This window comes from Homo sapiens, chromosome 12 (assembly GCF_000001405.40).
Source record: "Homo sapiens chromosome 12, GRCh38.p14 Primary Assembly".
Classification (NCBI taxonomy): Eukaryota; Metazoa; Chordata; class Mammalia; order Primates; family Hominidae; genus Homo; species Homo sapiens.
Genome location: NC_000012.12, coordinates 102,903,713 through 102,926,692, shown reverse-complemented (window position 1 = coordinate 102,926,692; position 22,980 = coordinate 102,903,713). Strand labels below are relative to the sequence as shown.

Genomic DNA, 22,980 nt, shown 5'->3' with positions numbered 1-22,980 from the left:
TTTGTTTTTAATTGTGGTTCTGTTTAGAAATATGCTCACAAAATTATTGATAAGTTCTTGAAAAATAGTCTCTGGAATGTCTATGTGAACTATCAGGTTGGTGCAAAAGTAATTGTGGTTTTTGCATTTTTTTAATGGCAAAAACTGCAATTACTTTTGCACCAGTCTAATACTTTTAGCTCACAACTGGCTATGAACCAGTTACATGAATTTGTCGTGCCTACTTCTCCAGACTCAGCTTACACCTCTCTCCTTTTCACTCTCTTTACCCGCCCCCCCAACAACTGGCTTATGTATGCTCCTCAGAAAAGTCCCATTTACTCATATATTAGAGATTTTGTATAGATGTTTCCTCTACCAGAAATCCCTTCCCCTAGCTCTTTGCATTTGGAGCCTTTCCATAATTCAGTTCTCAGCTCAAACATTACCTTGTTGAATAGATCTTCCCTCAGCACCCGACTTAAACCAGTATCCCCCATATAGTCTCTTACCTCTTTTTAAAACTCAGTGTCTTCTTGGTCACTGTAAGTACTGAGTTTATCTTGCCTTTTTTGTCTATTTATTTAATGTTCCTGTTTCCTAATAGGATGTGAAATTACTTTGAGTAGACTCTCCTGTTTATCATAAACAGTGCCTGGCACTTAGTACATCTTCAACAAACGTTTGTTGAATAAATGTGTGCATGAATGACAGCACCTCAGTGATCTCACTCTGATGTTGCCGAGAAGGGATGCTCATGCAATGACTTCAGAGTCTTGAGATCATACATATAATGTATATTATATATATATTGGTTTGTACTTAAACTTGGATCAAATGCACTTGATTTACTAACTGACTTTATTATGACTCAATGTAAAGTCTAAATTCTGCTAAGAATTCCTGGAATAGCCTGCCTGAAATCTTATTTTAATGAAAACCATGACTTCATACCTTAATTGCATTGGGTTTATGTGGGCTTTGGCTGATCTTTAGATTTCTGGGTTGTCTGTGAGGGAAAAGTTAGACTAAAACGAAGGATGCCATTGAAACAAGGTTCTGAAGAAGTTCGTGAGTCATGCTGACTTATTAGGAAGTCTCCTTTGTGTCTGCAATGAGACGTTGCATTTTTCTCTGAAGTCTGATGAAGAAAGAACAGTTTTAGGACAAGTAAATCCATCTTAAATATCAATCCGTGTCTCTTAGATTGTTGTGATTAGATTTGATTGTGAGTGACAGAAACGTCAAAAAAATGAGTTTAAAGAAAGTAGAAGTTAATTTTTCTCATCAAATTCTAAGTCAGCAGTCTAAGGCTGCTGAAGTGATGCTTTATGATATCAATAACCACAAATGCTTCTTCTGTCTTGAACCTTTCCTCCTTTGCTCTGAAAAACATGTCTCCATTCCTAAATTTACCTTATAATGCAATATGGCTGCTCCTGCTCCAGTCAGCATATCTGCATTCCATCCTGCAAGAAGGAGAAAATAAAAGGAGAAGGGTGTGCCTCCTCTATGGACACTACTTAGGTATTGCACAGACTACTTCTCCTTGCATTTCTTTGGCCAAATATTAGACCTGTAGTTACACTCAGCTGCAAGAAAGGCTGGGAAAGGCAGTTTTTATTCTATGAAGGATTGGGGAAAACTAATATTGAGTTTCCATTTCCATGCGAAAGAAGGAAAGAAAATGGAGAACCTAGCTGTATATGCCACAGGTCCCTTTCTTTCCTATCAACTTGCCAAGCAATTCCTGAACATCAGTGTAACTTCTAGGCAGACTTTCCACACTTTCATAACATTGGCAAATGAGTAAACCAGGAATCCAAATGAATTTACACAGTTTATTGTTCAGGGCACAATAGGCAACATGAGGTCCATATTTTCATTGATTCTCCTTGTCCCCCAAGTCCATGGGTAATGCAGAGTAGATCCAGGTGTATGCTGAGCATACAGTTTCACAGCCAAGGAACACTGAGCTTAGGACATTCTGATTCATACAGAAGCTGATGGCAACTTCCTCATCCTCCTCTTCAAAGATAGGCATTATCTTTACCTTGGCATGGAAACAAGTTTTCTTCTGGTGAGAGGTTGAAGACTTTATTATTATGGAATGTCTTCAGAGATGGAGATGTTCTCTGTAATTATTATACTGGACAATAAATAATTCTGCTGTCTGACCCAAAGGGACAGACTAGCCTCTAATGCTCTTTGCTGTGCATATATCCTTGAAAAGGTAGTCCAAGATATATAGAAATGCCATAGAAATTGTCTCTAACATCTCCATTTGTTAAATTCTTTACAAATGCATAAAACTGGTTAAATATTTAAGGAAGTAGCTTAATTTAAAAAAAAAACCCATCAGTCTAGTTGCTGCTAATAGTACATTGAATGTGATTGTTTTGTTTTTGCTGCTTTGGAGTTTGAGACTTTCTATACAGGACATGCATGCTAAGAGATGGAGAATCCCATTTTGCAGCATTAGATTCAATACTCACTGTAAGGATTTATAAGAACAAACCAGAAGACTAAAACAAATGGCTGGGAAGAGAATTTCACTAGAGATGTGTCAATGTGCTGTGACATTTCTCTTTTGCTTCCATTGGAAGGGGAGAAGTATTCCCTCCTCTTTACCTTATACCAAGTTAGGGTGGTTAAAAAGAACCTACCAGAGAGCTTGGCCTACGTCCTCTGGATTTTGCAGGTGTAGAAACTGCCTAACTCGTGTATAAAGGCAAGAAACTGGATAACTTCTTTGAATATTGAGCATAGACAGAAAAGAAGTCCAGAGAAGAAGCTGGACTCCACCATTGGCAGGACAAAGGTATGTTTTTCTTAAAATAGGCTGCACGGTGAGATAACCCCAAAAGACAATTGATTGTGGGATGGACCTCTTTAAGTCAGGTGGTATTATCTGGACTGTGAGACCATGTTGAAAAACCTCTGGGAAATCCCCAAGACAGGTACAAAATATCCCATTAGAGAAATAATCAGAATTTAGACATCTTAGGTGTAGACAGTTCACAGAAATAACAATAGAAATTACTTTTAAATATGTACAAACATTGCTCAAAATAAGGTACATTCTAATTTAAACTATAATATGTTTTTCCCCCTCTAGAATGGTGAGAATCAAAAATTTTGGTAAGTTCTCATGGATGGTCTATAGGCCACATGCCTGGGTACCTAACATTTGTTCTGGTCCCACAGCAATAAATTTATAAATGTTCTTGGTTCAAGCAACTTACATTAGCATGAAGAGCTTGAATATGATTAATGAGAAGTTTGTTCAGGCATAAGGGTACCCTGTGCTATATCCATTTCACCAAACTGTGCAATGTGTGATTAACGTGTTATGCTGAAACCAAGTTTGTTGTATACAGTCAAGTCCCTGTCCAGAACTGCTTTAGTCTCATGCTCATCAGGCTGTGTGTGAAGGAGGAGCTGAGCTTCCATAAGGTCTAGCATATCTCTCATTCACGCAGGCATTATCATCCACAAGTGTGTACCCCCTGCTGTAAACATATCCTGCTTGTTCATAGGTGATACTGATGATCTTTTTGCTGTGAATCTTGACTCAGCAGACCTCTTGATTTACTCAAGTGATGTCTGGTCTTTCTGTAAATCTGAACTTACTTGTTGACATTTGCCCAGTGGTAAAGTATACAATGTCACATTGGGTTGAAAACTATAGGGAAAGTGGACATTCTTATATTTTGTTGGTAAAATGTAAGTTGGTAGAACTCATATGGATTGATAGACCATACATAACCGTTTAACGGAGACAGTCCAATTTATATCTGGTTTTTTTTCTGTGTAATTATAACTAGTACCTCCTTTCACTATCAAAACATTCCAACATGGATAATAAATTATATGGTCATCCTCTAAAGGGTAATTTGTCAGTATGTACTAAAATGATACATTCTCATGTCCTTTGACTCATACATTCAACTTAATGTATTATTTCACATAGCTATCTTCTTACACATGTGTAAAATGATACATACAAAGTTCTTCATTAAAGCATTACTTGTAATAGTGAAAGATTAGAAACAACATAAATGTTAATACTTACCAACAGAGTACTGATGAAATAAATTACGATAATCCACATAAAAATACAATGGAGCCATTACAAAAGAATAAATAAGGTCTTCCTGTAGTAAACAGCGTGACCTCAAGATATATCATTAAGTTTAAAGTTTAAAAAGGCAAGGTTTAGGGCCGGGCGTGGTGACTCACGCCTGTAATCCCAGCAGTTTGGAAGGCTGAGGTGGGTGGATCATGAGTTCAGGAGATCGAGACTAACCTGGCCAACATGATGAAACACTGTCTCTACTAAAATACAAAAAATTAGCTGGGCATGGTGGTGCGCACCTGTAGACCCAGCTACTAAGGATGCTGAGGTGGGGGAATCACTTGAACTGGGGAGGTGGAGGTTGCAGTGAGCTGAGATCGTACCACTGTATTCCAGCCTGGCAACAGAGCGAGACTTCATCTCAAAAAAAAAAAAAAAAAGGCAAGATTTAGAATCATGTATAGTATGCTACTATTTGTGTAAGAAAAGGAGGGAAGGAATATATGCATATACACTATCATAAATATTTGCTTAAAGATCTCTAGAAGAAACTGACAACATTGGTTATCTTTGGAGAAGAGAATCAGGTGCCTGATGAACAGGGGAATGTGAAATAATTTTCACTAGGTTTTATATTTTGATGTTTGAGCCATATGAGTGCTCACCTCCTCAAAAATAAATGAAAAAAGTTATATCTAAAAGGAAAAAATTATATAACTTGGAGCAAAAAAATAAAAATACAGCAAAAAAATTAAAATATAAGGGATAACTTTCAAATCAGAGAAAGAAAATTTGATCTATATATCTAGCGGAAAGTTAAAATAGGCTCTATGGTGAGAAAATCCCAAAAGACAATTGATTGTGGGATTGGCCTCTTTAAGTTAAGTGGTATTACCTGGACTGTGGGACCATGTTGAAAAGCCTCTAAGAAATCCCCAAGGCATGTACAGGTATATCTACAATGCAGGTAGATTAAAGATCTAGCTATGATAGATCTAGATGCTAGAGAGAAGAGCACCTCTTTGGAACTTTGGGATGGGGAAGGACTTCTTAAACAATACTCTATAGTACAAACCACAAAAATTTTTAAAAGGATGGACTTGTTATTTCAAAATTACTTGTTTTATTGTTTAATCAAGGAAGGACACCAGTTGACAATTAACTGACAGTGACACATTGGGAGGCAATGTGTTCAGTGACTGAGAAGGGCACAGAGCTAATATTTGGACACAGAGCTAACAGAAATTATTGCAACAAATCTACAAGACAGGAATCCTAGTAGAAAATGGGTAGAAAATATGATGATAAACTATTCATAGCATGGGAAATCTAAGAGGTATAAGTATATAAAGAGATGCTCAAACTCATGAGTTATGAGAGAAATTCAAATTAAAAACAACAAGACACCAGCTTATGCTGATCAGATTGGCAAAAATTCTGACCTTTGGAGAATACCACATATTAGGTATACCCACCAATAGGAACTCTTTTGCCTGCTGGTTGGTGTGTAGACTGGTCCAAGCCACTCTAAAGGGCAATCTGGCAGCACTTTGTGAAATTAAGAGTGCATGTTCCCTATGATTCATAATAGCACCACTCTTCTATCCCAGAAAATTTCTACCCCAGGCCTATAAGGGAAGAAAGATAAGGAAATTTATCACAGTATTGTTTGGGGTGGTGAAAAATTAGCAATGACTTAGATGTCCATAACTGGAAAATAAAGAAGTCAAGTGTGGCAAATACACACTGGGATATTCTGAACCATTTAGAAAAGCAAAGAACTAGATACATATTCAGCAGCATGGCTGGATCCTAAGAACACAGTTGAAAGAAAAAAGAAACTATGAAATCTATAGTACATCCATAGATTGTAGTAAATCTATAGTGCCACATCACATATCCATGAAAAATACATATACGCACAAACATTTCTATGTATTTTACAAGTTCAAGGCTAAACATCATATTAGAGAAGTTGCCTCTGGGGAAAGGCAGTGAGAGTGAGGAATTATGATAAAAGAGAATGAATAAAAAAACAAGAGAAGGGTCATGTAGGTTTTGTTTCTGTGCCATGAACTCATGGATTATGATTAACTCAACCTTCTGCACATGAAGATAAACAAGAAAGAACTGATAAACCTGCAATGGTTGGGTAATCTTCAACTTCCAAATCAGCAAAGGTCAGCTCTAAGTTTGCCAAGTACACAACTTCTCATCTTGTGACATGTTCCCCACCTCTGTGCAGTGTTAAAAAATACCTCAGTGGTCTACTGACTGACTGTGGATGCTTCTTCTAGATGTGCCTTTTTTTCCTCCATTTCCTTAGCACCCAGCACTGCTCTCATTATAGCAGCACATTGCATTCCAACCAAATTGAACAAAAAGGTGGCTTAAAAATCATCTGCAAGTTTATGGCACAAGCAATCTCTTATTTTTATCTTAGTGCATAAATAAATTTTTCCTTTTTGCCAGAATAATTTTTTTTAAAGAAGCGATTAGTTTTTCTTCTCTCAGATAGCAATGATGTGCTTTCCTCTCAACCTAGATTTAGGGCATTTTTATGTGAGATAGGATTAAAAATTCCATTTTTGTACAACCACTATGGAGAACAGTTTGGCAGTTCCCCAAAAAACTAAAAATAGAGCTACTATATGATCTAGTGATCCCACTGCTGGGTATATACCTATAAGAAAGGAAATCAGTATATCAAAGAGATGTCTGTTCTTTTATGTTTGTTGCAGCACTGTTCACAATAGCCAAGATCTGGAAGCAACCCAAGTCTCCATCAACATGGGTTTTAAAAAAATGTGGTACTTTAATACACAATGGAGTACTATTCAGCAATAAAAAAGAATGAGATCCTGTTATTTGCAATAACATGGACAGAACTGGAGGTCATTATGTCAAATGAAATAAGCCAGGCACAGAAAGCCAAACATCACATATTCTCACTCATATGTGGGGTCTAAAAATCAAAACAATCTGATTCATGGAGCTAGAGAGTAGAGAGCTAATTACCAGAGGTGGGGAAGGGTAGTAGGGGCCTGGAGGGGAGGTGGAGATGGTTAATAGGTACAAAAAAATATAGAAAGAATGAATAAGACCTAGTATTTGATAGTACAACAGGGCGAATATAGTCAAAATAATTTAATTATACATTTAAAAATACCTGAAAGAGTATAATTGGCTTGTTTGCAACACAAAAGATAAATGCTTGAGGGGATGGATGCCCCATTTTCAATGATGTGATTATTACACATTGCATGCCTGTATCAAAATATTGCACATACTCCATGAATGCATACATCTACTATGTTCCCACAAAAATTAAACATTAGAAAAAAGAGTTGCATTTTCAGCTGTTATGGGGAGAAGAAAGAAAAGCTATCATTTTGTTGTCCTAAAAATTATGTTGTCCTCATTTCAAACAGGAAAGCAAAAGTATTTGAGAGCCAGTGCAGTGCCTTGGTGTTGGGTGAAACATAGATTGAATTTGGGCCATTTGTTTAAACTTCCTAGGCCTCAGTTTCTTGCCTATTAAAAGGGAGTGCATAGTTCATGGGATTGTTAAGAGGAAGAAGTGAAACCATGCACGTGGAGAGCGTGGCACAGTGTCTAAGACAGAGTGTGCATGCAAATAAGTAGATAATATTCTTTGCTTTTCTTTATTGCATGCCTGTAATATTTTTGGAGTTGTCACATTCATTGCCCTCAAGTAGCATCAAGGGATGAAATTATGTTTGTAAGAAAATCCTGAGGCTGAGGAATACAACATGTTTTATGTCTACTACACTGAAAAATGCCGGAGTCAGATAAAGAATACAGATTCTCCTGAGGATGGAAATCAAGATCTTCGCCTTCAATATTTAACAACATTGAGCTTCCAACTTACTATGGGAAATATTCATCAGGCCCCTAAAGGTTCCTTTTGGACAGAAATTGCACTTGTTATATCTGTATTCTTAGCAGACAGTAGACAGCCTGGCACATCATAAAGGCTTAAGGAATCCTAAATATCCCTTAAAATTCTCATTTTAAAGACAAAAACAAAACAAAAAAAAAAAACAAAAAAAAACTGAGGCATGGGCTTGACCAAATCAGTGGTAGAACCAAGAGTTAAACCACTTGTTTTGAATCCTAAACCTGAGTTTTATTTTACTTATTTATTTATTTATTTGTTTATTTATTTTCAGATGCTTGGTCAAAGAACAGTGGGAGGAGAGGGATGGGCTTCCAGCAACCTTTATTATTGGCTTATTTTCTTACAGCCCATTACTTTCTCTTGGGAAAATATTAAGCAGGCACTCAAGGCTTGAGGCCCCTGAGTTTTCACATCCTTTCTGAACCTCTGAACCTGCTTTCCAGCATTCTTTTATACTTTGTTTTACCTCCTGGTCAGTAATGCCTCACCCTCAGTCTTCTCTAAAAGTGTGGTTAATGGCATCTTCCTGACTATTTGAAGACCACTGGCCAAATCCCACCAGCTCACTCATAGACCATCCCCCTACTTTACTTTCTTCAAAAGACTTAGCCCTACCTAAACTTATTTATATGTTTATTTTCTGCCCACCAGAATGGCAGCATAGCTGGGGAGGCAGAGTCTGTTTTGTTCATTGCTGTATTCCCAAAGACTAGAACACCACCAAGCACACGGTACAGGTCTCAGTAATTATTGTCAAATTTATGTGGATTTGCTTTTAAACAATATCTTCCATTTACTGAGTGTTTATGTGGAAGAACTGTACTAAATTTTAATGCATTTCTTTATTCCTATTCTTAAAACCTTCCAGCAAGGTGGCTCTACCACCCTCTTTTCCGAGCTTCAGGAGCAGTTGTGCGAATAGCTGGAGAACACCAGGCTGGATTTAAACCCAGATCGCTCTTACATTTGCTCTTTACCTGCTGTGCTCAGCGTTCACGTGCCCTCTAGCTGTAGTTTTCTGAAGTCAGCGCACAGCAAGGCAGTGTGCTTAGAGGTTAACAGAAGGGAAAACAACAACAACAAAAATCTAAATGAGAATCCTGACTGTTTCAGCTGGGGGTAAGGGGGGCGGATTATTCATATAATTGTTATACCAGACGGTCGCAGGCTTAGTCCAATTGCAGAGAACTCGCTTCCCAGGCTTCTGAGAGTCCCGGAAGTGCCTAAACCTGTCTAATCGACGGGGCTTGGGTGGCCCGTCGCTCCCTGGCTTCTTCCCTTTACCCAGGGCGGGCAGCGAAGTGGTGCCTCCTGCGTCCCCCACACCCTCCCTCAGCCCCTCCCCTCCGGCCCGTCCTGGGCAGGTGACCTGGAGCATCCGGCAGGCTGCCCTGGCCTCCTGCGTCAGGACAACGCCCACGAGGGGCGTTACTGTGCGGAGATGCACCACGCAAGAGACACCCTTTGTAACTCTCTTCTCCTCCCTAGTGCGAGGTTAAAACCTTCAGCCCCACGTGCTGTTTGCAAACCTGCCTGTACCTGAGGCCCTAAAAAGCCAGAGACCTCACTCCCGGGGAGCCAGCATGTCCACTGCGGTCCTGGAAAACCCAGGCTTGGGCAGGAAACTCTCTGACTTTGGACAGGTGAGCCACGGCAGCCTGAGCTGCTCAGTTAGGGGAATTTGGGCCTCCAGAGAAAGAGATCCGAAGACTGCTGGTGCTTCCTGGTTTCATAAGCTCAGTAAGAAGTCTGAATTCGTTGGAAGCTGATGAGAATATCCAGGAAGTCAACAGACAAATGTCCTCAACAATTGTTTCTAAGTAGGAGAACATCTGTCCTCGGTGGCTTTCACAGGAATGAATGACCATTGCTTTAGGGGGTTGGGGATCTGGCCTCCAGAACTGCCACCAATTAGCTGTGTGTCTTTGGACAAGTTACTGTCCCTCTCTGTTGTCTGTTTACTCTTCTGTACACTGAAGGGGCTGGTCCCTAATGATCTGGGATGGGATGTGGAATCCTTCTAGATTTCTTTTGTAATATTTATAAAGTGCTCTCAGCAAGGTATCAAAATGGCAAAATTGTGAGTAACTATCCTCCTTTCATTTTGGGAAGAAGATGAGGCATGAAGAGAATTCAGACAGAAACTTACTCAGACCAGGGGAGGCAGAAACTAAGCAGAGAGGAAAATGACCAAGAGTTAGCCCTGGGCATGGAATGTGAAAGAACCCTAAACGTGACTTGGAAATAATGCCCAAGGTATATTCCATTCTCCGGGATTTGTTGGCATTTTCTTGAGGTGAAGAATTGCAGAATACATTCTTTAATGTGACCTACATATTTACCCATGGGAGGAAGTCTGCTCCTGGACTCTTGAGATTCAGTCATAAAGCCCAGGCCAGGGAAATAATGTAAGTCTGCAGGCCCCTGTCATCAGTAGGATTAGGGAGAAGAGTTCTCAGTAGAAAACAGGGAGGCTGGAGAGAAAAGAATGGTTAATGTTAACGTTAATATAACTAGAAAGACTGCAGAACTTAGGACTGATTTTTATTTGAATCCTTAAAAAAAAAAATTTCTTATGAAAATAGTACATGGCTCTTAGGAGACAGAACTTATTGTACAGAGGAACAGCGTGAGAGTCAGAGTGATCCCAGAACAGGTCCTGGCTCCATCCTGCACATAGTTTTGGTGCTGCTGGCAATACGGTCCCCACAACTGTGGGAAGGGGTTAGGGGCAGGGATCTCATCAGGAAAGCATAGGGGTTTAAAGTTCTTTATAGAGCACTTAGAAGATTGAGAATCCACAAATTATATTAATAACAAACAAAGTAGTGTCGTGTTATATAGTAAATGTGAATTTGCAGACACATTTAGGGAAAAGTTATAATTAAAAAAATAGGCTGTATATATATCAATGGTTCCAAAATTTTCTATGGTTAAGAATCACCTGGGATGGTTTTGAAATGGCAGATTCTAAGACAACTTGATTCAACAGGTTTAGGTAAAGCCCAGGGAACTGCATTATAAGAAGGAATCACCTGTAATTTTGGAGTCAAGATCCAAGGAACACTCATTGAGAAACACTGATTTACAAAGTGCATGGAGAGAAATGGAGCAAGTGAAGGGGGATCAGCATGGTGAAATATAGGCTGTTAGGAGTGCTATTGACTAACTGTCTGGTGACTGGACCAGAGTAAATCTTTTACTTTGCAAGAAACAGGACTAAATTCCCATATTATGTCCATAGCAAAGGGAATTATGTAGAAAAATTGATAATTAGGAGCCTGAGTTCTTGACCAGCCTCCACTACCTATGTGGCCTCAGGTGAGTTATTTTCTCCCTTTGGCTCTAAGTTTTCCCCATCTGTAATGTAAGGGAGTTTAACTAGATGAGCACTAAGGACAAATCAATTTCTGTGAGTCAATTATTATGAAATACCATGTGGGCATCAAATGCCAAGTGGAAAGCATAGATAAAGAAGTGATTGTGCACCTGGGCTGAGGGGAACAAACATTTCCTAAGAGAATTGAGACCCAAAAGAGCCTTTAAGGAAGGTGAGATCTTGGAAAGGGAAATTTGGTGAATACTCTAATGAGGAGCTAAAAAGGCAAGAAAGAAAGCAGCTTGGCTGGAAAGGAGGTTCCTGTAGGTGGGCCTCCAGAGATTCGGTACCACAGAAACTGCCAAACATCAGCAAGAAGCCATGGGGATGGAGCGTTTGAGGGATTCTAAATAGAAGGACAAGAGTAAAAATGTCAGGCTGGATCGATGCAGGCCACTAAGAAATGGATTCAGGTGATGGCAGTGGGAAGAAAGGACCTGATGCCCAGAGGCATTTCTGGAGAAGATGAGATCAGACTTGTGATTGGCTGAACACACACTGTAGTGGGGTGGGGTTTAGGGGGTGACTCAACTTCAAGCCCAGGTACATTCAAGTCTGAATTGCCCTAGTCAAAAGTGGCATCTGTGGATGTGTATCAGAAATATCTTACTTTTCTTGGAAGCCAACAGGAGAAAAGAGTGCTACCAAGTGAACTAGAGACAGGAATATCTTTTGTCATTTCAAGGAAACTGGAAAGAAGAAGGCTCAGTATTCTTTAGTAGGAAGAAGACTTAAGTCAGAGACTCATCTGTACCTCTCTGGCAGGGTTTAAAAGGGGGAAGAGGAATAGAGGCTGCAAGAGATTGTGATTCATGGACAGTATGCAGAGATCAAATGACCTGGGTTCAGATCCTGGCTCCACTGCTAACTGTGTAACTATAGGCAAGTTCCTTAACCTCTCTAAGCCTTAATCTTGTCATCAATAAAAGGGGGCACTTGGTGCCTAATAAAACCTACCTCTTAGGTTGTTGCCAAATTACATGAGATAATCCAAATCAAGTGCTTATTATAATACCCAGAAATTATAGGCTCTAAATAAATGTTTATATAGGCTCTAAATAAATGAAGTTTTTTAGAAAGATAACATCATGATCAAAATGGGATATTTAACAGTTTAGTCTTCCATTTCATTTGAAGCTCCCTAAAATCACTCTTGCTGATAAATTTGTTTTTTCCTTCACACCTCAGTTTCATGGGATGTTTTGGCAAAAATCTGAATTTTCTGAATTGAAAGAATTTTTTGCTAAGGGTCATCAGTATTCATGCAGGGCTTGTTATTCTGAGTCACTAAGAGTTTCCTAACACAGCCTTCTCTCATTGAGATGATGTAACATCTATTCCATTAATTTCATTAACTTGCTTACAAGAGAGTAATTGTTCTGCAAATTTTTTTCTTCCCAGTTTTAGGTACCTGCTGCTTATTGTGGACACACATAGAATTTTATGTATTATTTTTCGACTTAGGCTAATGATTTAGCAAACTCTGGAATGTCAGCCCTAACCCCAACCTTGGTTTTCTGTCACATGCATGTAGTAAGTGCTAGATCCTGGACATTCTTTGAGATTTAGTTTAAGACTAAGTTTATTTTCTGATAGGTTATTTGTGTACTTTCATGGATTTTGTAACTCTTTTTCAACAATTGGATGTCTCAGATCTCAGCATATGGGAGCAAGTTAATGCTTCCTGAGATCTTTGCCAAAGGTCAAGAGGTCATTTTTGTGTATTTATAATTTTCCATCATTTTTATATACTTCTCAATATTCTTTTTAAACTATTCTTTTCCTTTTTTCATCCTCTGAATACTGTTTTGACAGATCTTGTTATTAGCATGCTTTCACGGATGAGAAAACTAAGAAAGCTGAATGATTTGCCCAAAGTAGTCCACCTGGAAAATGAAAGAGAGAGGATTCCAATCCAGGTCTTACGATTCAAAAGCCTGTGCATGTTCCATTTTTAGTACTTTCCACACTGTATTTCTCAATGTCTTTCTGGGACATTTTATAAATCATATTATATCACCTCTAAGGATCTTTCAGTTTGTTATATATGTGTCTATTAAGTTAGATTGTGAGCTCCTAAAAGATAAAGCATTGTCTTATTCATCTTTAAATTTCTCAGAGCCCAAATAGTGCCTGGAACCTAGTAGTTGCTCAATAAAAGGTATTGAATTTACAGGATTGAATGGTGACATCAATGAATAATTGAAGATTCCTTAAGCTGATAACTGACCCAGTAGCATCATTGATCATTTAATTGCCCTGGACTTACTTATTTTCCACCACACTACATATTTCTGTATAGAATATATATAGCTCATTGTATTGCAAGATTTAACTAGAAGAAAGAGTTCATGCTTGCTTTGTCCATGGAGGTTTAACAGGAATGAATTGCTAAACTGTGGAAAATGTTTTAAACAAATGCATCTTATCCTGTAGGAAACAAGCTATATTGAAGACAACTGCAATCAAAATGGTGCCATATCACTGATCTTCTCACTCAAAGAAGAAGTTGGTGCATTGGCCAAAGTATTGCGCTTATTTGAGGTCAGTGCTACAATCATGTTTGTCTTGGATAATGTCGTAGCAAACTTCCATGTTCTTTTCTAGTTAGATGCAATGAAAAGAACACAGGATCTGGAACAGGCAGATTTGAATTTGAGCTCAAGTTTTTACATTAACCAACTGTGTGACCTTAGTTAAGTCATTCAATCTCTCTGAGCTTCAGTTTTTCCATTCATAATATAGTGCTGATAATATGTGCCTTGTCAGTTTCAACAGGAACTTTGTGATGAAATAATGTGTTTTGTAAAATGCCTAATCATATGTGTGATTAGGCATGATTAACTATAAGTCATATGTGACACGTGATTACATTTCACATAACATGTAATCACATGTGTCACATGTGATTACAGTTAAAGAGTAAACAAGAAATAAATATTAATTCTTTTATTCACTAAATTAATATTGATTGTCTTCTATGTATAAGTGTAAAATAATATGCAAGACACCGTCCCTTTCTTCAAGTAGCTTAACCCAAAACTATGCTTTAGAAAATAGCTAATGTTCTTCAAGACATTGGTAAATGTCTTATGATTAAAGTGGTTCCATAATTAATAAACTTGGGAAATTCGGGCATATTATTTTACCTGATTTCTTTATTATAGGACTTTTAGAGTCTATAAAACTAATTATACTAAGTTGTTTACAGAGAGAAATGTATGTATTATTTTCCAAACTTACTTGACTGTGGATCCTTTTTATTTTAAGAACATGTATTCACATCTGGGAACAGAGTTTAGGAAACGTTGATTTGGGTGTTTGCTGGGCAGCCAAACTTCACAGAACTCCAAATAGGTTTCCTCAGCCAGATTCCTTCCGAGTACTATGCTAATATTTTTGGTGGGATTTTGTCCCACCTGAAAATACATTGCTTTATGCTAAGATTCCTGTGACCTCTCTAGCTGATTGGGAGGCAGGGGTAGCACATTGGTCAGGGCTGTGCACATACTTAGTGCTCAGTGTGTTTGGGCATGCAATCAACAAATCCTTTTGGGGCATGACTGGATACGATTAGATATCTTGTGAAAACCTATGATGTTCTCAGCACTGTGGGTGGGGAGGAAGATGGGGGACACATAGAAATTGTAAGGAAGAGAAACTGCCTCCTTTAGGATCTAACAGGGGAAGCAAATATTCTGAGCAGCTGGGGAGGGAAGGCAGAGCATGAGAAGTTATCTCAGTAAAAGGTAGCTTTATAGACATGATCTTATTCAGTCTAATGAAAATAACATGAGGTAGGAGCTATTTCTGCCCCCATTTTTCAGAGATAGAAACTGATGCTTAGAGGGGTTAGGTAAATGTGCCCAAGGTCAAACAGCTAGTAAATACGGAAGAAATCATTTAAACCCAGGCATTCTGAGTCTAGAACCTACATACACTCTTAACTGCTATTCAGTACTGCCCCAGACAGAACGGGCTTCATAGTTTGCAGGGCGCAGTGCAAAATGAAAACGTGGGGTCTCTTCCTCAATAACAGGAAATAATGCTGTTAAAAGTACTAAAATATATAACTTTATCCTTTCTTCTGTGGTCTCTCTCATGTCCTGTTATGGTGTTTTTGATTTGCCATTTAGTTGTGCTCTCCTCCCCTGGGCACCTTGGCCCTCTAACTGCTGGGTTCCCTGTCCAGCCAGGGCTGGGCTGACAGCCAAGCCCCTACCAAGGATGGGGAAATCCATCTTCCATTTCCGTGGACCTGCTGCACCAACCCACAGTGATGAGCTATCCCCCAAGAGATTGTAACCTCTGGAATGAGAATGGAAAGGAAGCTTGCCTGAAGCCAAATCACCCACCAAATCCCCTGCCAGATCTCCCAGGGTTGGCGGAGAGTGGCAGCAGAATATAAACTTCCCCCCAAAGCCCATGCCTCCTGGTCATGACTCTGGGCAAAGGGCAGTAGTGGTGGTGAGGTAAGACCAGGGAGGGGAAGGCTGCGTGGGTCCAGAGGGCCAACGTGCTTGAAAGCAACCCCTTAGAACCATGGCTGAGAAGGTAAGGAGAGGGCAAATGGTGTGATTACACATGAGCTGAGTCTCCAAATACCCAGCATGTGCTTCATTGTCCCACTGGACTTTGCTTATGAAACACAAATTCAAAAGTCGTTATTAAGAATTTCAACTCACGCCTGTAATCCCAGCACTTTGGGAGGCTGAGGCTGACGGATCACAAGGTCAGGAGATCGAGACCATCCTGGCTAACATGGTGAAACCCCGTCTGTACTAAAAATACAAAAAATTAGCCCGGCGTGGTGGTGGGTGCCTGTAGTCCCACCTATTTGGGAGGCCAAGGCAGGAGAATGGCGTGAACCCTGGAGGCGGAGCTTGCAGTGAGCCCGGATCGTGCCACTGCACTCTAGCCTGGGTGACAGAGCAAGACTCCCTCCCCAAAAAAAAAAAAAAAGGAATTTCAAGGAGGTTGCAAAGAACATGAAACCCCAAGTGTGATTCCTGTGGTATGACAGTGGTTGCATATCCCAGAAGCTGGCCCTGACCTCAGACCTCTTTTATCAAGCTTTCCCTGAATTAATTACAATCTTCTCAGTGTTCCCAAAGCACTTCTTACTTTTAACTGCAGCACTTCCTTGCGTGCTCAGCATATACATTATGTCTAGCCCTGAGGATGGTTTCTTCAAGAAGAGAACCTTGTCTCAGTCATGTTTATATCCTCAACAGAACCTGAGTTTTATATATGTTGTGTTCAATTAAGAATGAAATTCAATCTAAAGAAAATTTTTTACCTTAATAAATATTTTTAAGTTAAAAAAATATTTTAAAAGTATCTTTTCACTTTTTGAGCCAATTAATTTTGTTTTTTGAGACAGAGTCTTACTCTGTCACACAGGCTGGAGTGTAGTGGTGCGATCTCAGCTCACTGCAACCTCCGCCTCCCAGGTTCAGGCGATTCTCATGCCTCAGCCTCCCCAGTAGCTGGGACTACAGGCACATGCCACCATGCCCAGCTAATTTTTATAATTTTAGTAGAGACAGGGTTTCACCATGTTGCCCAAGCTGATCTGGAACTCCTGGACTCAAGTCATCTGCCTGCCTTGGCCTCCCAAAGTGCTGGGATTACAGGCGTGAGCTACCAGCCAGGGCCAATTAATTTTTACCCTGAGTTTTTAAATATAATTAAATCTTGTGATCAAATATATGAATAAGTAGAGAAAAGATAGATCTCCTATTTAGAGTTCCAAATAATTTAAGTAGTGGGTTTTTATAGTGACTTTTTTTCCAAAAAGTACCACATGGAAGGGGGAGAAGAGTTTCTTTACAGTGGAGAAATATGACAAAGACACCTCAGCCATGTGACCAAAATCAACATTATTCAAAAAGAAACTGAATATTAAAACAAACCTTTCCTTAATAGTAAAAAAAAATTAAAATTAAAATTAACATCATCAGTGATGTCATGTTGATGGTATGCATTCTTGGTAGGATGAAAATGGCACATTACCCCTGTGGTCTTCCTCCACACAATCCATAACCTCCATCTAACCATGAGAGAAAAAATCAAATGAATCCTAATTGAGGAACATTATCCAAAATACATGACCATTACTCCTGAAAACTCTCAGGGTCATCAAAAACAAGTACTGTCTGAGCGACTGTCACAGCCGAGAGGAGCTTAAAGAGGCATGAAGACTAGGGCCAGGCACGGTGGCTCACGTCTGTAATCCCAGCACTTTGAGAGGCTGAGGCGGGAGTATCACCTGAGGTCAGGAGTTTAAGACCAGCCTGGCCAACATGGTGAAACCCGGTCTTTACTAAAAACACAAAAAAATTAGCTGGGCATGGTGGCAGCTACTTGGGAGGCTGAGGCAGGAGAATTGCTTGAACCAGGGAGACAGAGGTTGCAGAAAGCTGAGATCACGCCATTGCACTCCAGCCTGAGCAGCGAGAGTGAAACTCTGTCTCAAAAAAAAAAAAAAAAAAAAAGAGACATGAGGACTAAATGTAACGTGGTATTTTGAATGGGATCCTAGAACAGACAAAGGACTTTAGATATAAACTAAAGAAATTTGAATAAAGTATGGTCTTTCGTTTATAACGTGCATCAATATTGGTTCATTAATTGTAACCTATGTTCCACATTAATGTAAGATGTTCATATGTTCATAATGGGGGACACTGAGTCCAGGTTATGTGGAAACTCTGTGCTATCATTTCTATTTTTTCATAAATCAAAATTATTCTTTAAAAACTGCCTTAAAAAATTAAACCTGGGGGAGGAGAATGTATGTCTGAGTGAGAGCAAGCGAGCAATGGGTGTAGAGAAGAGAGACAGCATTTTCTGAGCAACAAACTGTCCATGAGAAAGAATATATCTGTAAAATGCACCTATGTAACTTTTTAGCTTTTATATTAGATAATCAGCATTTTCTCCTTGAGAGGTTGCCCCTTAGGCCTAAGTCAGAGTTAATAGATTAAATAATAGTAAATGAACAGAATGTTTTCAACCTAATAAATAAACGACAAGTAACTAAATTACCAGAATTGGATGGAATGCACTCAAGACATGTGTGTTTGTGTGTGTGTGTGTGTGTGTGTGTGTCGGGGCTGCAGGGGGTGGTAGGGAGGGGGGCGCATGCATGTATGTGAACTCTGGGTGAACTCTCTGAAGCATTATCCAGAATCTCAACTGCACAGGTCAGTAAGTGATGTTATTACACCCATTTTACAGAAGAGGAAACAGAGGTCACTGTATTGGGTGATTGAAGAAGGGTTGTTAGTGAGTATTGATTTTTTTTTTTCCAAACATACTTCAGAAGTTGCTGTATAAATTGTATAGGCCAGTATACTTCTCGCCTTAGTAACAGCCTGGCAAAATGTTAAAATCACTCAAAGTGCTGAGTTAAGGCTGGGCATGGTGGCTCACACCTGTAGTCCCAGCACTTTGGAAGGCCAAGGCGGGCAGATCACTTGAGGCCAGGAGTTCAAACCAGCCTGGCCAAAATGGCGAATCCCCATCACTACTAAAAATACAAAAATTATCTGGGCGTGATGGCGCATACTTGTAATCCCAGCTACTAAGGTGGCTGAGGCATGAGAATTGCTTGAACCCAGGAGGCAGAGTTTGAAGTTAGCTAAGATCACCCCACTGCACTCCAGCCTGGGCAACAGAGTGAGACTCTGTCCGCCCCCTCCCTCCCCACAAAAAAAAAAAGAAAAGAAAAGAAGGAAAAAGATGCTACGTTAAGAGAGAGAATCAAATTCTAGTATTTGTGGAACCGCATTATGCAATGAGCTGGGCACATATGACTCTTCATTTAATCCGCATTAAACTAAGTGAAGGTGGTACTCTCACTTTATGGATGAGGGAACTGAGGTTCAGAGCGGTTGAGTAATTTGCTCAAGATCACACAGCTAATGTGCAGTGGAAATGGCATTGAACTCTGAATCTCAGATTCCGAAGCCCATGATCTTTCTATTACACCCCACACCTCTGCCAAATACAGCTATCCCTGAACATCTGAATCACTCTGGAGTTTTTTAAAAAATGCAAATATCCTGGTCCCAGTCTCTCATTCTTGGGGTGAGGGGGCAAAAGTACCTGTCTCTGGGTATTTTTTCTTTCATATTGAAAAATGCATTTAAATGCAAGACAATTAACTACTAATATTCCTTCCATCTATTATCAACCGCTGTTAACATTTGGACATATCACTTTCATTTTTTCCTGTGTCATTGCAGTTTCAAATATTACAAATTAACATATCATTTCTTAAGAAAAAAATTAGAAGATAAAGCTACAGTCTTTTCTCATCTCTCCTCTATCCTGATCATTCTAATTCTACAAACTTTCTAGCCAAGACAGCATCATTATGAGTTTAGCATATTTCCTTCCAGTCCTTTGGAAAAGTATGTTGATATTGACAAGTGTCATGCTATGCACATTGGTCTGCAGCCTCTTTCAGTAAGCACAATGGAGTGGCCAAGAGGATGGACTCCATGGATGCAGGGCTGTGGCTTAGAGAGGGTGACTTGACTTCTCTGTGCCTCAGTTCCTCATCTGTAAAATGGAAATAGTAATCGTATCTGCTTCATAGGGTAGTTCTAAAGATTAAATCACTTAATGCATGTGATCTAAAGATTAAATCACTTAATGCATGTGATCTAAAGATTAAATCACTTAATGTGCCCTCAGAATATTTATTAACTGTTAAGTAAGAATTACTATATATATATTTTGTGAATGCAACATTTAAAAAATGTATACATGCTGATACATATAGATCAGGTTCATAACTTTTAACCTCTGAAGTATAGTTCTTAATATCTGTGTATCATATTTTATTTATCATCCCTCTATTTTTGGCATCCATGGTGTTTTCTAGTTTCTATAGTCACAGACAATTCTGCAGTATTTTGTTCAATTTTTTTGGTAAGTAATATGCAAAAATTTCTTTAGGGTAGATACCTAGAAGTGGAATCTGGTCGTAGGATATGGACATTTTTAGTTTTAATCAGAACTACAAAGTTTTTCTCCAAATGTCCTGTAAGAATTTATACTCCCACTGGTTCAACATGAGAATACTCATTTCTCTATACATTTAAGAATATATGCTTATTATTGCCTTTAATCTTGAACAATATAATGAGTGAAATATGGTAATTTGTTGATTTAATGTTCATTTTTCTGACTATTAGTGAGATGTAGGTCATATTTCATAACATTTATAATTTGTCTTTTTGTAAATTGTGATTTGTCTACACATTGTATTTTTTGTGGCAAATGTGCCTTTTTCTTACCGATTTTTTGACATTTTATATACTCTGAATACTGTTATGTGTGTTACAAAGATTTTCTCCCAGTCTTTCTCATTTTACTTGGGTTTATGGTATAATTTGTCATACTGAAATTTAAAATTCTGATATAATCAATACTTTCAGTCATTTTTTCATGTGTTTTGGATTTTTGTTTATTCTTGAATTTTTTTTTTTTTTTTTAAATTCCACTGGTGACTCTGATGCCAAGTCGGGAATGAGAACCATTGTTCTAAGCTATTGCCCGGGAAGGGGTTCTTGCTGTGCATGAGAGACTGTGTTATCACTTCACATGAATTAAGTCATATTTAATACTCATCACAGTGCTGTGGGGAGTCAGCGATGCCATACTGATCTTAGAGAGGAGGAAACTAAACCTCAGAGACTCAGTAGCTTGTCTAAGGTAGACAAGGTGGTAGGACTTCAGAAATTGACCTAGGTCTATTATGCTAAAACCTCCGGCCTTATATTTTTTTTAATCAGAGAAAAACCAATTGTTATGAGAAAGCAGAATGACACAGCAGTTATTTTGCATCTCTTTTTGTTGTAAAGAGAACGATCTTTAAACTGGGAATGTTGAAACAAAATATTGAGAGCCAAGAGAAGCTTGGCTGGTAGATCTTGGTACCCTGTCCTTGGACTAGTGACTTCACCCCATCACCTATCTGTTACTTACAAGGGGGTGAATCAGGGAGCTATTTGGGGCCAAGGTTTTATGAGAAATCAAGAGATCACTATTTGCCCGTAGAAGAATTCATATCTTTGGTTCCAAACATTATAGTAGCCCCATGTTATGACATAAAGAGTAGGAGGAATATAGGCTTGATATTGGGCATCTAAATCCCAGATCTACCAGTGATTGACTTACTGGTCTTGCTATGCCTGGTGTGACTCTGAGGCCACAGAAGATGCTCACACAATTTTTATTCCTTTACCCCTTTCACGTGTTTTATTTTACCCCATCAGGAATCTTTGAGAAAGCGTGAAGATGAGAAAGATGTTGGAAGACTAGGGAGAGTAGAAAGCTTTTATTTTAAAGTGTTGTTTTTTGTTTTAATGAAAATCTAGAATGAATGACTTGTATTGTTTGTGAATACTTACAGAAAAATGGCAATGAGCAATAAGAGCTGGGGTTGAGCCATTCGCCAGAAGAAAAGTAGCTTGGTAGAGCAGGGGGACTGTGGTGTGCATAGTCTACTCGGGTGTTTACATCTCTCCCAACATCTTTGTGAATGAAATGGAGAAGCAAGCCATAGATGAAAATACGGATGAGACCTTTAAGCTGTGCAGTTTACAACACATTTCTGGACCCTATAAAATGAAATTAAAGGAAATAAGTGGCAAAACAAATGAAATAATCTAGACTATACTTTAGAGCAGTGTTTCCCAAATAATATTCTGTCAAAATCTGTATGATAGTAGGTATTTTATCAGAAAAGAATTCCAAGGGTCATTATATCTGAAAAATTCCACATCTAGGTTTTAGAGAGCCATAGTGCACATGAACTTATTAAAGACTCTGAGAAGTTCTGTAGGGAGGAAACCTGTTCAATGTAATCTCACTCAGCATTTCCTATATGTATTTACCATGGGACCCTGTTTAGGGAAGATCTCTTAATATCTTCCAGGCACTAGTGTTCCACTAAACTCATGCTGTTTTAGAGTTATGAACTCCAAACTATCAGTGATAACCTAGGTTTGGGGTCCTGAGGGATGGAATGGCATTGGGGTTAAGGATATACCATCTAGAGTCAAACCGTTTGGATTCAGAACCCAGTTGCACAACCTGTGAGCTTGAAGACCTCAAGAAAAGTATTTAACTTCTTAGTGGCTAGGTTTCCTCATTCTAAAAATTAAGATAAGAAGTAGAAGTTCTAGTGAATTGGGGCCAAATGATTAGGAGTATACCAAAACCCTTACCTGCTAACCTACAACATCCCACTGACCTCAGTAGATTGTTCCAACTTTCAATTATTTATGCATTGGTTTAAACATTTTCTGTAGTGCTCTATATTTTTAGCCTCTACTAGCTCATGTCCATGCCTTTTAGGAAAATACTCTCCTGAGAGTCTTTACTGTAAGTGGCTTAGTAATGGGCTACAAAATGAGAAGCAGGCTCCTGGGGGAAGTACACTGTTCACCTTACCACATATTCTCTAGGGAAGGGAACAAGCAAACAAGCAGATGTACAGAGCTCTGAGCTCCAAGGTCATCTCTGACGTATGTGGGTAGGTTCAAAGACAGCATCATTCAATTGATGAAGACACAGAGGCTCAGACTAAACAAGCTTCCAGGA

At 39.0% G+C, this 22,980-nt stretch overlaps 1 protein-coding gene and 1 long non-coding RNA gene across 4 annotated transcripts in view; one reads left to right on the top strand and one right to left on the bottom strand.

The window, feature by feature from the left end:
• Window positions 1–22,980, top strand: part of PAH (phenylalanine hydroxylase) — a 121,553-nt gene that overhangs the window by 31,749 nt on the left and 66,824 nt on the right. For 2 of the 3 annotated variants that reach the window (NM_000277.3, XM_017019370.2), the window contains exons 1-2: window positions 9,449–9,622; window positions 13,795–13,902. In NM_000277.3, coding sequence (NP_000268.1) covers window positions 9,563–9,622; window positions 13,795–13,902 — 168 coding nt within the window. In that variant the 5' untranslated portion in view covers window positions 9,449–9,562. Of the gene's footprint in view, window positions 1–9,448; window positions 9,623–13,794; window positions 13,903–22,980 lie in introns of those variants that run through there. The other variant, NM_001354304.2, reaches the window with a different exon arrangement.
• LOC124902999 (uncharacterized) overlaps window positions 21,698–22,980 on the bottom strand; it is a 40,575-nt gene continuing 39,292 nt past the window's right edge. The window contains exon 3 of the long non-coding RNA XR_007063428.1: window positions 21,698–21,995. This is a non-coding gene — a long non-coding RNA (uncharacterized LOC124902999). The remainder of the gene's footprint in view (window positions 21,996–22,980) is intronic.